This window comes from Homo sapiens, chromosome 6 (genome assembly GCF_000001405.40).
Source record: "Homo sapiens chromosome 6, GRCh38.p14 Primary Assembly".
In the NCBI taxonomy this organism is placed as follows: domain Eukaryota; kingdom Metazoa; phylum Chordata; class Mammalia; order Primates; family Hominidae; genus Homo; species Homo sapiens.
In genome coordinates, this window is record NC_000006.12 from 103,372,722 (window position 1) to 103,389,048 (window position 16,327).

The following is a 16,327-nucleotide window of genomic DNA, read 5'->3' on the forward strand; positions in this document are numbered from 1 at the left end:
AAATATGTTGCCTTTTGAGTTTGGCTGATTTTACTTAGTAAGATGCATTTAAAATTAATCCATAATGTTGTACAATTCAATTTTTCATTATATTTATTTCTAAGGGATATTCTATTCTATGAGTACAACACAGTTTGTTTATCCATTCACCTGTTGAAGGGCATCTGGGTTATTTCCAGTTGGGGCAATTATGAATTGATCTGCTATAAATATTTGTGAAGAGATTTTTGTGGGAACATAAGATTTAATTCACTTTAGTACGTACATATGTAGGAGTGAGATTGCTTAATAATGTGATAAGTAGCTGTACATTTGTTCATTCCTACCCACAATGTGTGAGTGTCAATTTCTTTCTATTTTCACCAGCCTTTGAAATTGTCAGTCTTTCAATTTTAGTCATTCCCACATGCATATAGTTGTGTTACAATGTAATTTTAAATTTGTATTTCCCTAATAACTAAAAATGTGGAATATCTCTTTATATACTTATTTGCTATCTGTCTTAGTACACTTTCTGTGGATTATAACAGAATACCAGAAACTAGACACTCAACAGAGAAAAGAAATTTGTTTCTAACAGTTATGAAGGCTGAGAATTCCAATGTTCAGGGACCACATCTTATAAGGACCTTCTTGTTGATGGTGTCTCTCTGCTTCTATTCTCTAAAGGAAATTACAGATAATTTATATAATTTCTTCCTTAAAGTTTCAATATAATTCACTAGTGAATCCATCTGGGCTTGACTTTTTCTGTTTTGGAAGGTTATTTATTATTGATGACATTTGTTTAATAGATACAGGCCTATTCATATTGTCTATTTCTTCTTTTATAACTTTGGAAAACTGTGGGACTTTTTAAAAATTGGTTTAGCTTACATAGATATGAGATATGTGGGCATAGTTGTCACTAGTATTCTTTTATTATCCTTTTAATGTCCATGGGATCTGCAATGATGTCTCCTCTTTCATTTGTAATCTTAGTAATTTGTGCCTTCTCTTTTTTTTTTCCTTAGTCTGGCTTAAGGGTTATCAATTTCATACATTTTTTTTCAAAGAGCCAGCTTTTAGCTTTGTTAAGTTTTATGATTTCCAATAAGTACTTTGTTAACAGTTTGTTTGCATATTCAATAAACTAATAATAAACAGTTATAATGTATTGAACATTTATTGAATATATGCCAGACACCCTACTATATTCTTTATTCTTCTTCATGTTACTTAATTTTATACATACCATAGATCTGTGAAATATCATTATCCACATTTTATTAACAGAAAAACTGAGGCTGGGGCAAAGAGAAGTGAAATACCTTACTCTGGGCTATTTAGTATTGGTGCCTAAATTGAGATTTGAGCACATGATGATCTGAAGACACTACTTTTACATTATCCCATCAGAGATGCTTTACATCTAAACTATTAGAGGATCAATTATATATGCAAGATAAAATAATGTATATTCAGGCAAATTCCTGACCTCTGGGCTTCCAGGTATTATCGGGGATACTAAATTGTAAATTCTTGTGATAGATTGTGCCAGTTCTCGATCAGAGAATGTGAGAGAACAAAATAGCAGGACGCATCTATACTTTTACCACCCTGGCATTTAATCTTCTCAACCATATCACACTAAGCTCTGTTTCCTGTAAATATTTCTGCATTAAAAATAGGGATAATTTCTGAAGGGAATTATAATACAGGAAATAAAGATAACTTTTTCATTAATTCTTACTTTTTCATGTGTCTCAAGAGAAGTAGGTACTTTTAAATACTTTATTTACACTTGTCACTTGGGTACTCTTATTCACTCTGAAGCTGACTCCTCTTATTTTTAGTTTTATTTATTTTCTTCCAATATAGTACTCATTCAATCATCTCTGTATACATTTCCATCTAAGTATTTTATTCAATCTCTATGAAAATTCAATTTCTGCCCACAGGGATATAACTATGAGGACTCACTGCTTATACCTCCAGGCAAAGCCTCATTTCTGAGCCCTTTATTATTGATGGACTGTTTCTCCAATGATCCTTGCTGCCCAGTAAAATCCAAATATCGCAGAAAAAGCTGGCAGGATGAGTTTAAGTAATAATATAGGTAATGCTCATCCTATATCTACCAGGTTGATTATTCTTTTTTACATATATATATATATTTTTTTTTTTTATTTTTTTATTTTTTCTATTTTTATTTTTTTTTAGACAGAGTCTCACTGTGTTGCCCAGGCTGGAGTGCAGTGGCAAGACCTCGGCTCACTGCAAGCTCCACTTCCCAGGTTCACGCCATTCTCCTGCCTCAGCCTCCCTGATAGCTGGGACTACAGGTGCTCGCCACCACGCCCAGCTAATTTTTTGTATTTTTAGTAGAGACAGGGTTTCACCATGTTAGCCAGGATGGTCTCGATCACCTGACCTCGTGATCCGCCCGCCTCAGCCTCCCAAAGTGCTGGGATTACAGGCATGAGCCACTGCGCCTGGCCTTCTTTTATATTTTCTTACTTGTATGAGCTTTAGGGAAACCAGTCCTTATACAGAGAAACTTGAGAAATATGTTTATACCTTGTAAGCTAGATATTAATTTTTTAGTGAGTTTAGTTGAAATCCTTATTGAGAATTAAAATATTTTCATATTTAGCAAGTTCTTCCACACATCTTACATTTCTTATCAACAGTGAACTTTGCATTATATACAATAGCATTTAGTTTCATTCTTGATCAGACTAGAAAGTCTGCCATAGAAAGTGGTATAACCTTATTCCTCTTTTTAAGTCCTATTACTTCATGAAAAATTAATAAATCACCTCACTGCTTCTAATTTACTGCCCCACTTAAGTTCTGACACTTTCTTGGTGACAAGATGCTATTTGGGAGGTGGAGAGGTATGGCTTCTATTTCTGTTATACACATATGTGGTCATCCAGGATTTTGTTTCTTAAACTTGAATGACACAGAAACCATATTTAAAGAGGAATAAATATTATATAATTCCTGCACTGATTTACTTTGGACTACACAGAGTGAACGTGAGGGCCAGCAAATATCTTTGCATACTTATCTAAAGCCTATACTTCTTCCGCCTCTGCTAAGTGACTAGGAAATTACCAACAGTGAATTGCTAATATAGTAAACTCTAGGACAATTCTCTTCACCATTTTTCCTTGAAACAATGAAGGAAAAAATGACCAAGGAAATATACAAGAATCTCTGTTTGTCTGTTATTGGTGTATAAGAATGCTTGTGATTTTTGCACATTGATTTTGTATTCTGAGACTTTGCTGAAGTTGCCTATCAGCTTAAGATTTTGGGCTGAGAAGATGGGGTTTTCTAGATATACAATCATGTCATCTGCAAACAGGGACAATTTGACTTCCTCTTTTCCCAATTGAATATTCTTTATTTCCTTCTCCTGCCTGATTGCCCTGGCGAAATCATGAGTGAACTCCCATTCACAATTGCTTCAAAGAGAATAAAATACCTAGGAATCCAACTTACAAGGGATGTGAAGGACTTCTTCAAGGAGAATTACAAACCACTGCTCAATGAAATAAAAGAGGATACAACCAATGGAAGAACATTCCATGCTCATGGGTAGGAAGAATCAATATTGTGAAAATGACCATACTGCCCAAGGTAAGTTATAAATTCAATGCCATCCCCATCAAGCTACCAATGACTTTCTTCACAGAATTGGAAAAAACTACTTTAAAGTTCATATGGAACCAAAAAAGAGCCCACATTGCCAAGTCAATCCTAAGCCAAAAGAACAAAGCTGGAAGCATCATGCTACCTGACTTCAAACTATACTACAAGGCTATAGTAACCAAAACAGCATGGTGCTGGTACCAAAACAGAGATATAGACCAATGGAACAGAACAGAGCACTCAGAAATAACGCCGCATATCTACAACCATCTGATCTTTGACAAACCTGAAAAAAACAAGAAATGGGGAAAGGATTCCCTATTTAATAAATCATGCTGGGAAAACTGGCTAGCCATATATAGAAAGCTGAAACTGGATCCCTTCCTTACACCTTATACAAAAATTAATTCAAGATGCATTAAAGACTTATATGTTACACCTAAAACCATAAAAACCCTACAAGAAAACCTAGCAACACCATTCAGACATAGGCATGGGCACGGACTTCATGGCTAAAACACCAAAAGTAATGGCAACAAAAGCCAAAATTGACAAATGGGATCTAATTAAACTAAGCAGCTTCTGCACAGCAAAAGAAACTACCATCAGAGTGAACAGACAACCTACAGAATGGGAGAAAATTTTTGCAATCTACTCATCTAACAAAGAGCTAATATCCAGAATCCACAATGAACTCAAACAAATTGACAAGAAAAAAACAAACAACCCCATCAACAAGTGGGTGAAGGATATGAACAGACACTTCTCAAAAGAAGACATTTATGCAGCCAAAGACACATGAAAAAATGCTCATCATCACTGGCCATCAGAGAAATGCAAATCAAAACCACAATGAGATACCATCTCATACCGGTTAGAATGGCGATCATTAAAAAGTCAGGAAAAAACAGGTGCTGGAGAGGATGTGGAGAAATAGGAACACTTTTACACTGTTGGTGGGACTGTAAACTAGTTCACCCATTGTGGAAGTCAGTGTGGCGATTCCTCAGGGATCTAGAACTAGAAATACCATTTGACCCAGCAATTCCATTACTGGGATTATAAATCATGCTGCTATAAAGGCACATGCACACGTATGCTTACTGCAGCACTATTCACAATAGCAAAGACTTGGAACCAACCCAAATGTCCAACAATGATAGACTGGATTAACAAAATGTGGCACATATACACCATGGAATACTATGCAGCCATAAAAAATGATGAGTTCATGTCCTTTGTAGGGACATGGATGAAGCTGGAAACCATCATTCTTAGCAAGCTATTGCAAGGACGAAAAACCAAACATCGCATGTTCTCACTCATAGGTGGGAATTGAACAATGAGAACACATGGACACAGGAAGGGGAACATCATACATTAGGGCCTGTTGTGGGGTGGGGGGAGGGGAGGATAGCATTTGGAGATATACCTAATGTTAAATGAGGAGTTACTGGGTGCAGCACACCAACATGGCACATGTATACATATGTAACTAACCTGCAGGTTGTGCACAGGTACCCTAAAACTTAAAGTATAATAATAAAAAAAAGAAATATATAAGAATCATCACACTCAAACAGATTTCTTGTGAGATTTTTATCTGTGTCTTGTGTTACCATTTAACTCTCCAGCTCAGGTATGCTAATGGAAACGTGGTTTTCTAACCCAAGGATTGAGAAAAAAAAAAAGTAAGAATGCCCTGAACTCTCTCATCAAGTGTCCTCCAATGAGTGTGAATAAAGGAAGGACGGAAGCGCTCCAAAACTAGATGGCTTCTGTGACTCATTTTTTTGGGTGCTGTGGACACTGCTCTTCAACATACAGGGTGGATTTACTTTGTGGAAGGCTTTTCAGCAGCAGCAGTGTCCAGGACTCAAGATTTTAAAAGAATCCTTTGGATAATATATTTCAATTAAGTATTTTAAAATATACAATACTATACAATAAGAAAATACCTTTATATGATTATATATTGAAACATATTTCAGAATGTAAAACAAGATTATAAAGCTAGTAACCTTTAAACTTGCAACATTACTTTAAGATGGCAATAATATTGTTCTACTTACTGATTTTAATATGCTTATGCCACCCTGTATCCTGTATGAATCAATCTCCCAACTTTTCTCTTTATTTGGATTACAGTGACATCTTTGTATACCCCAGAGGCCATCAGGCCACATGGTGTTTCTATGATGCCCTAAACATAAATGTAAATGTAGGGTGTAAAGTGGCATCACTGTATGTAATTAGAAGGGTTTTTCTGATTAATTCATAATCTGCTGGTATAAGGTTACTATAAAAATGAAAGACTAAAATTAAATCATTATTATACAGAATTATCAATATTTAGAAAACATTGATGGAGGATCTATTTTCCTACTAAACTTTTTCTGCAGAGTAGTGAATATAGCTTCTTAATATTTTTGTACGTTTGGTTTAAATTTTTACTGTAGAAAATATATATTTTCTGTAAATTTGATAATACAACCAGGATTCTGCTTATCCTGCTTTTCTGTTTTACTATTTTCAGATATCATACATTAATTTACCTTTCCATAGAAAATAATTTAATATTAATGTAATTAATTAATTAGTGGTATTTATTAATATTACTTATAATTAACAATAAATTAATATTAAACAAATTAATTTTGAATTAATAATTCAAAAGATATGACTATCTACATATTTCTCAAAGCATTTGGTGGTAACTGTATCCTAATGCTTTGTACATTTTATTACTATTGTCTCTTTGCTTAGAAATCTCCCAGTGCCAAAATGTGTATTCTTTGAAGTCAGACAGAATTAATATGAAATAGTAGCTAGTTTAATGTAGTACACACAGTTGGGATTAATTAAATGTTGAATAATTAATAAACTATTTAAAAAACACATCAAAATCCTAATTGTAGAAAGACTTCTATATATTTTCATGTGTTTATTTTACTTCTCTCAGCTCATATCTACCATATATTTTAAATGTCTGTATTATAGTCTTCTTTGCTCTATCACTGATAAACTGCAACACAATTAATCCTGTTACATACTCCATCTTGGTAACTTTAAACAAATTTACTTAACATATAATGATGAAGTCATTACTGCCTGTGTTTGGCTGTTACTGAATTGATATAAAGAAATACCTGAGACTGAGTAATTTTTAAAGAAAAGAGATTTAATTGGCTCACAGTTCCGTAGGCTTGATGCTGGCATCTGTGTGGCTTCTGGTGAAGCCTCAGGGAGCTTTCAATCATGGCAGAAGACGAAGAGGGAACAGGCACATGGTACAGCAAAATAAAAAGCAAGTGAGAGATACTGGAGGGAGTGGTTCCACACACTTAAATAAGCAGATGTCAAGTAAATTAACTGAGCAAGAACTCACTTATCACCAAGGAGCTGGTGCTAAACCATCCGTGAGGGATCCATCCGCATGATCCAAATATATCCCACAAGGCCCCAACTCCAACATTGGGGATTGCATTTCAACATAAGATTTGGGAGGGCACAAATATTCATATTGTATTACTGCTATGTGTTTCTTTTTTGAGACACACATTTTTTTCTTTTTTTAAAATTTTTCATTAGCAGTTTACTGAAAAAGAGACTATAATATTTTTGAATTACTGTTAAACCCAGCTCAGTAGAGCACAGGTGAAACTTTCCCAAGCTTTTTTTCTCCCTTTTCTTTCAATGCATTTTCTGCCATCAGACCTTCATTGCTCTATGAGTGCTCCCAGTGCTGCCTATGGGGAATAAGAAATTGATTTTTTATCAAATACTAAACTTGAGAAAACATTTTAAATACTAATTCTTCTTAGGCTTTCATGATGCCTTCTCAAGACTCTATAGATAATATACTTTATGCTAAATAACTTTTAAAAATGTCTCTGTGGTTGCTAGAGTTCTAAAATCATATATTAATTTATTTCTAAATGTTATTTAAAGAAGAAATTGAGCAAAGGAAAGATGCTCTAAATTTATATGGATTGCTTTAACATTGCTTAATGAAGGCTTGCAGTTGACTTTATGAAGGAAACAGAAACATCTTGTTATAAAATGAAACCTTATATCTTCCCTCTCTGTCACCTTAAAATACAATTTACATAAAGAAGGGCAACAGTAATTGAAGAGCAATTATGGTAGCTTTCTGTATTCATGCCAAAGAATAAACATTTATACCCTTTGTGTGTTTAAGAAAAAATGGTCTCACAAATTTGACATCTCCTATGTTAGCAGCTTATTAAAATTTAGTAGAAAGAGCATATTTCCATTTTTAAGAAAATAAAAGAACAATGTGAAAGGAATGTGTAGTAGTCTATTGCATCCACTTTTACTGTGCAGATAATTAAAAATTAGAAATTTGGGCTTTAAATGTTGAAGCCTGAATGTAACTACTCAGATCGACTAACCTACATATAATTTGCAAAATAACAATTTAATAGAAAGGAAAATACTTGAAATAATACATTTTTAAAATTTAAGCCTTATAGTATGTCATATAATCATATGGACTTTCAGGAGTTTATACTGACCAAAGATGAGTCATATATTTTTCAGACATGTAAAATGCAAAATGATCAATTTAAGATTCTGAAAATATAAAGAATCCAAATAAGTGGAATCTGTGAATAGTGTGTATATTACTTGCTTAGGGCTGTGTAACAAAGTACCGCAAACTGGGTGGCTGAATATAACAGAAATTTATTGTCTCACAGTTCTAGGTGTTATAAGTCTGAAATCAAAGTGTAGGCAAGTTGGTGCATTTTGAAGAATCTGAGGGAGAACCTGTTCCATGCCTTTCCCTTCCTTTTGTCGACAGCCAGAAATCCTTAGGAGTCCCTGGCCTCTTTATGCAGCTTCTGGTGACATTCCTTGGCTTGTACATGCATCACTCCAATCTCTGACTCCATCTTCACATGATATTCTCTATGTGTATCTCTGTGTCCAAATTTCCCTCTTTATAATGACATCGGTCCACTCTAATGACCCCATCTTAACATAATTACATCTGCAAAGACTCTATTTACAGATAACATCACATTTCCAGGTGCCAAGGATTTGGGCTTCAACACATTTTATTTATTTATTTATTTATTTGAAATATACAATCAAAATCCCAGAATTATGCTAAAGTTAGTATGTGTTCAACATTGGCTCTTCTCAATTTACCAACATAATATACTTTCTCTAAGAAAAGAAAAGAGTATATTACTTTTTCTAAGCCATTACTTTAGTGTAGAGAGTTTTACAGGGTTCTAGACATTTTTTAAAAAGTTTATTTATTTTAGGATAATAATATATACAACTATGCACAGTAAATATAGAAAAAAGCATTTTTTTACTAAGTAAACTTTCCAATTTTAATTTCTCACCTTTTAAACTTTTTTTTCTATATGTTTCAGAGCTCTTTAGAGAAACAGAACACAAATATAATTTTAAATGGATATAAATGATTTTTTAAAAGAGAGTTTAGATTGACCTATTCTTTTCTCAAGAGAAACAGAGGACTTGAACAACACTGTAAACCATCTAGACTGAACAGATGTCTATAGAATACCACCCAAAAAATGCAGAATACACATTCTTCTCAAGCACACATAGAACATTTCCCAGAATAGACAATATGCTATTCCATAAACAAGCTTCATTAAACTTTAAATAATTTAGATAATATAAAGTATACTTTCCAACTACAATGGAATCAACTTTGAAGTTAAGAAAGGGGAAACTCATATATGTGAAAATTAAGCAACTAACATTAAATGAAAAGATAAAAGAAGAAATCATAATGAAAATGAGAAAACACATTAAGATGAATGAAAGTGAAAACACAACATACCAATACTTATGGGATACAACTAAAACAAGGTGTAGATGAAAGGCCTATACCAAAAAGGCAAAAAAATCTCAAATCAATAATCCAGCTTTCCACCTTATAAGTCTAAAAAAGAAATCAAAAAGTAAATACAAGGAAAGCCAAAGAAAGAACATCTAAAAAGGAACAAATAGAATGGGAGTAAATTAAATAGAAAATCAATAAAACCAAAAGTAGACGTGAAAAAATACTAAAATAAAAAAACCAGAAACTTTTAGCAAGACTGACTGAGAAAAAAATGGAAGAAGACTCAAATTAATAAAATCAGTAATAAAGAGGGAACATTACTATATTAGACCATTGTTGCATAGCTGTAAAAAAAATACCTGAGACTGGGTAGTTTAAAGAAAATAAGTTTATTGGGCTTATGGTTCTGCAGGTTGTACGGGAAGCATAACACAGGCATCTGCTTCTGGGGAGGCTCCAGGTAGCTTTCAATCATGGCAGAAGTAAAGGCGTTACACTCATCTTATGTGGCAGGAGGAGGAAAAAGAGAGAGAGGTGAGGGAGGTGCTACACACTTTACCAGGTCTCATGAGAATTCTTTCACTATCGAGAGGATAACACCAAGAAGATGGTACTAAACCACTCATGAGAAATCTGCCCTCATGACCCAAACACCTCCCATGAGGCCCTACTTCCAACATTGAGGATTACAATTCAATGAGATTTGGGTGGGGAACACAGATTCAAACAACATCAATTATTACATTCTTACAAAAAGAGAAAGGATTGAGCAACTATATATTAACAAATTAGATAGCCTAGATTAAATGGGCCAAGCCCCAGAAATACATAAACTTCCAAAACTAACTTTAGAAAAAATAGATAATCTGAATATACTTGTAATAAACTAAGAGATTGAATTAATAATGTAAGAACTTCCCCCCCCCCAAAAAATCTCAGACCCAGATGGCTTCACTGGTAAATCTACAGAACATTAAAAATAATAACACCAATCTTTTCAAAACTCTTCCATAAATAAAAGAAAATGGAACATATACATAAATGTTGTTAGCAGTATTATTCAAAATAGGTAAAATGCTGAAACAATCCAAATGTCCATCAACTAATGAATAGATAAACAACATGTGGTGTATCAACACAATGAAATATTATTTGGCAATGATGGTGAATACTGATGAAATTTTGTACCTTTATGCTAAGCGAAAAGAAGAAGTCACATATTATATGAATTGATTTATATGCAATGTCCAGAATAAAGAAATCTATACAGACAAAATTAACTGACTAGTTGCTTATTGCTCAGCAGTGGGCAGGAGGGAATAGGGAGGAACTGCTTAATGAGTACTGAGCTTTTTTGGGGGGTAAAGAAAATGTTGAAAACATTTGTATCCAAAAATAAAAGTCAGCATCCTAAAAGACAGTGAACAAATGAGATGAGGCAGTTTATTACCTTGAGAGAATTTCCAAACTCCAGCACAGAAAGGCATAAGCCAGAAGGAATGGGCAATAATGCTTGTTCTGACCAGCCAGTCTAAAAAATATCATTGTTCATGGGATATTGGGTCAATCATATAGAAGGGTGCCCATTAGTAAAAAAATACCTAGCCCCAAAGTGAGCACTGTTTCAGACCCACCTAACGATCTTAAAGGAAGATCTGAAAAGATCAAACTGTTTCCAAGTAACTTAACTGCCTCCCAGAACAGAGCTCAAGGATATTTATAGGAATATAAAAATATTCAGCACCCAAAAATATCAAATTGACAAGATTACACTTAAGCAAAGGAACAGGGAAATATGACCCATGAGGAGATAAATCAATCAAATTTGATCTCAAAATGACACAAATCTTAGAATTAGCAGAACAGAATGAAGCAGTTATTATGATTGTATTACATTCATTTAAAAATGTACATACATATGTATATATATGAAAGATCTTAAATATATATGTATTTATATATATATATATATGAAAGATCTTAAAAAGACAAGGTTAACTGACAGTGATTAAACTTCAATGTCTGGGATAAAGTTGTTTATCAACCCAATAGAATATTGATCAGTAATAAAAATGAACAAATTATTGATGCTCACAACATAGATAAATCTTCAAAGTATTATGTTGAGAGAAAGAAGTCAGACAATAAGGACCATAAACTATGTCAGTCTATTTACATAAATCTCTAGAGAACATAAACTCATCTAGAGTGACATTAAATTAATAGAACAGTGACTGCTTTGGGATAGGCAGAGAAGGATAGGAGTAAGACATTATAAAAGGGCACAAGGAAACACTTTGGAAATGGATATGTTCATTATCTTGATTCTAGTGATGGTTTCTGAACTTACGTATCTGTCAAAATTTATGACAAATTGCACTTCAAATATAAGAACTATTATCTATGTCAGTTATGCTTTAATAAAGCTGCTTAACAAGACAAATAAGACAATAAAATAATTCAAGGGAAGTAAGAAGGTTCAAATGGAGAAAGTCTTCAAAAAAATCAAAACACTAACAATAGAAAGTGTCTTGAAAAATATGGAGCTCTTAGCACATTCATATGTTTATCAGATTTAGTTTGGGAAGTAAAGTGATACAATTATGATTGGTAACTATTTGACATTTCTTTCAAAATTACTCATTCACCTACTATATTATCTAGCATTTAAATGCTCAGGTATTTACCCAATAGAGGAAAACATCTGATGACAAAAAGCATTGGAAAAGAAGCCTTAGTCATAATATCTAAATATTGAAACTAACCCTAATACCCATCTACAAGAAATGTTAAGGAAAGTGTGGTGTATTCATACAATGGAATATTAGTCAACAATAAAAAAGAACAAGCTACAAATAAATGCAAAAATTTAATGAAGCTCAAAAACATAATGTGGAGTAAACAAGACACAATGCTATGCATTTATTGAATTTCATACTACATGAAATAGTATATAGTATGTAAGTAATATATATACTATATATATTATATGTAACATATAATGTATTTATATATTATTATACTTGTGTAGTAACATATTATATACTTATATATAGTATATATGTTACTTATAGAGTATATTATATGTAAGTATATAATATGTTACTACATAAGTATAATACTTATATACTATGTTACTTATATACTATATAAGTTATATATAATATAATATGGAATTGAATAAAAATGAATAAAAATGAACATTAAGATATTTTCTGGGATGATGGGTTTCTTTTTTATTCTGTCTGCTGTGGAGGTTACAAAGATGTATGCAGTTTTCAAAACTCAATGAACTGAACACTTAATGTCACTATATTTTATTTTATGTAAATTAAATCTCTATGATATTATTATATATTTATATTTGTTTTGGTCCATGGTTCTAGGCTCATAATCCTCATAGCATTTATTATTTCCTAAGTGAATGATATAGTTTGGCCTTGTGTCTCCACTCAAATCTCATCTTGAATTGTGATCCCCACATATCATGGGAGGGAGCTGTAGGAAGTTATTGGATCAAGGAGGAGGATTTTCCCCATGGTGTTCTTATGATAGTGAGTTCTCATGAGATCTGATGGTTTAAGTGTGGCACTTCCTCCCTTGCTTGCTCTCTCTCCTGCTGCCATGTAAGATGTGCCTTGCTTCCCATTCACCTTCCATCATGATTGTAAGTTTTCTGAGGCCTTCCTAGTCATGCAAAACTTTGAGTAAATTAAACTTTTTTTTTTTTTGTAAATTACCCAGTCTCAAGTAGTTCTTTATAGCAGTGTGAGAATGAACTAATACAGAAAGTTGGTACCGAGAGAACTGGACCACTGATATGAAGATACCTGAAAATGTGAAAGCAACTTTGAAACTGTGTAATGGGCAGAGGCTGGAACAGTTTAGAGAACTCAGAAGAAGATAGGAAGATGCAGGAAAGTTTGGAACTTCCTAGAGACTTGTTGAATGGTTGTGGCCAAAATGTTGATAGTGATATGAACAATGAAGTCCAGGCTGAGGTGGTCTCAGATGAAGATGAGGAACTTCTGTTATCTACAGTAAAGGTCACTCTTGCTAGGCTTTAATAAAGAGACTGGCAGCATACTGCCCCTGCTCTAGATATCTGGAGAACTTTTAACTTGAGAGAGATGATTTAGGGTATCTGGTAGAAGAAATTTCTAAGCAGCAAAGCATTCAAAATGTGGCCTGGCTTTTAATAAAAGTTTATGCTCATGTGCATAAAGAAAGAAATGGTCTGAAATTGTCACTTATGTCTACAATAGAAGCAAAGCATAAAAGTTTAGAAAAATTGCAGCCTGACCATGTGGTAGAAAAGACAAACCCTTTTTCTGGGGAGAAATTCAAACCAACTGCCGAAATTTGCATAAGCAAGGAGGAGCAGAATGTTAGTAGCCAACACAATGGGGAAAATGTCTCCAGGGCATTTCAGAGATCCTCTCGTCAGCCCCTTCTATCACAGACCCAGAGGCCTAGGAGGGAAAATTGATTTTATGGGCAGGCCCAGGGCCACACTGCTCCTCTGTGCAGCCTCCTTGGGACTTGGTACACTGCATTCAAGCCACTGCAGCTCTAGCTTTGGCTAAAAGGGGCCAAGGACAGCTCTGGCAATTACTTCAAAGGGTGGAAGCCCCAAGCCTTGGTGTTAGGCTTGCTGCTGCACAGCGATCAAGAGTTGAGGCTCAGCAGCCTCTGCCTAGATTTCAGAGGATGTATGGAAACATCTGAATGTCCAGACAGAAGTCTGTAACAGGGGTGGAGAACTCATAGAGAACATCTACTAGGGCAGTGCAGAGGGGAAATGTGGCATTAGAAGCTCCATACAGAATTCCCACTGGGCCACTGCCTATTGGAGCTGAAGAAGAGTACCACCAACATCCCCCAGACCCTTGAATGATAGATCCATCAACAGCTTGCACTGTGCACCTGGAAAAGCTGTAAGCAATCAATGTTAGCCTGTAAAAGCATCAGCGGGGGATGTACCCTGCAGAGCCACAGAGGCAGAGCTGCCCAAGGCCTTGGGAGCTATATTAGTTCATTTTTGCACTGCTGATAAAGATATACCCAAGACTTGGCAATTTACAAAGGAAAGAGGTTTAATAGACTTACAGTTCCATATGGCTGAGGAGGCCTCACAATCATGGTGAAAGGCAAGGAGGAGCAAGTCACATCTTACATGGATGGCAGCAGGCAAACAGAGAGAGCTTGTGCAAGAAAACTCATTTTTAAAATCATCAGATCTCATGAAATTTATTCACTATCACAAGAAGAGCACAGGAAATTACCTCCCACCAGGCTCCTCCCATGACTTCTGGGAATTGTGGGAGTTACAAGTCAAGATGAGATTTGGGTGGGTGAGCTCTACGTTGGCTCCTTTCAGCCACAGGAGGAGGAGCTGGGACACAGGGCACTTTTCCTCCTAGGCCTCTGGGCCTGTGATGAGAGGGGCTGCCATGAAGACTTCTGACATGCCTGGATACATTTTTCTCATTGTCTTGGTGGCTAACATTCAGCTCCTTGTTACTTATGTGAATTTCTGCAGTTGGCTTGAATTTCTCCTCAGAAAATGGTATTTTCTTTTCTAACGCATTGTCAGGTTGCAAATTCTCCAACTTTTATGCTTTGTTTTCCCTATAAAACTGAACGCTTTTAACAGCACACAAGTCACATCTTGAATTCTTTGCTGCTTAGAAATTTCTTCTGACAAATACCCTAATTATCTCTCTCAAGTTCAAAGTTCCACAAATCTCTAGTAAAGGGGCAAAATGCCACCAGTCCCTTTGCTAAAACAAAAAGAGAGTCACCTTTGCTCCATGCAGAGATGCCTTGACCTTGGCATGCCCAGGGAAGGGATGGGAGCTCTGGGCCTCTGTCTATATCTGGCCCTACGTATTTCTTTCTGTGTATCCTTTGTAATAACTTTTATAATAAATGGGTAAACGTAAGTGTTTCCTTGACTTCTATGAGCCACTCTAGCAAATTATTCAAACCCAAAGAGGGGGGTCTTGATAGCCTTTTTTTTTTATAGGAGGTCAGTCAGAAGCACAGGTAAAACAACCCAGGGCTTGCTGTTGCTTTGGAAGTGGGGCCCTCTTTCTTGAGAGACTAAACCCACAATCTGTATGATCTGACACTATCTCCAGGTAAATGGGATCAGAAATGAATTAGAGGACACCCAGTTGGCATTCACTTCAGTACTGATTGCTTGTTTGCTGGTAGGGGAAAATCCCCACACATCTGGTGTAAAAAGCCTATTATGAGAGTATAGTGGGAGAAACTGAGTTTGTTTTTTCCACTCAATATTATTGTCCCAGTTATGGATTATTTATTTCAAATCACTACATTCAAAACTTTCTTTGGCCATGCGCAGTGGCTCACACCTGTAATCCTAGCAGTTTGGGAGGCCAAGGTGGGTGGATCACCTGAGGTCAAGAGTTAGAGACCAGCCGGGCCAACATGGTGAAACCTCATTGCTACTAAAAATACAGGTGATGTGTGCCTGTAGGCTCACCTACTTGGGAGGCTGAGACAGGAGAATTGCTTGAACCCAGGAGGCGGAGGTTGCAGTGAGCTGAGATAGTGCCATTGCACTCTAGCCTGGGCAACAGAGCAAAAACCCCATCTCAAAAAACAAAAACAAAAACAAACAAATGGAAAAAAAACTTTCTGCATTCAACCTTGTAGAAAATCAGCCACCAATTATGAGTAACATCCAGCTGTTCTGTTTTCATCTTTATTGTCATTGTTTTGGTAAGGTAGTGATTATTTCTTATTTGAATTCATACTGTGTCTGCTAAACTCTCTTGTCACCACCACCACAGCATCATCTCATGCTAC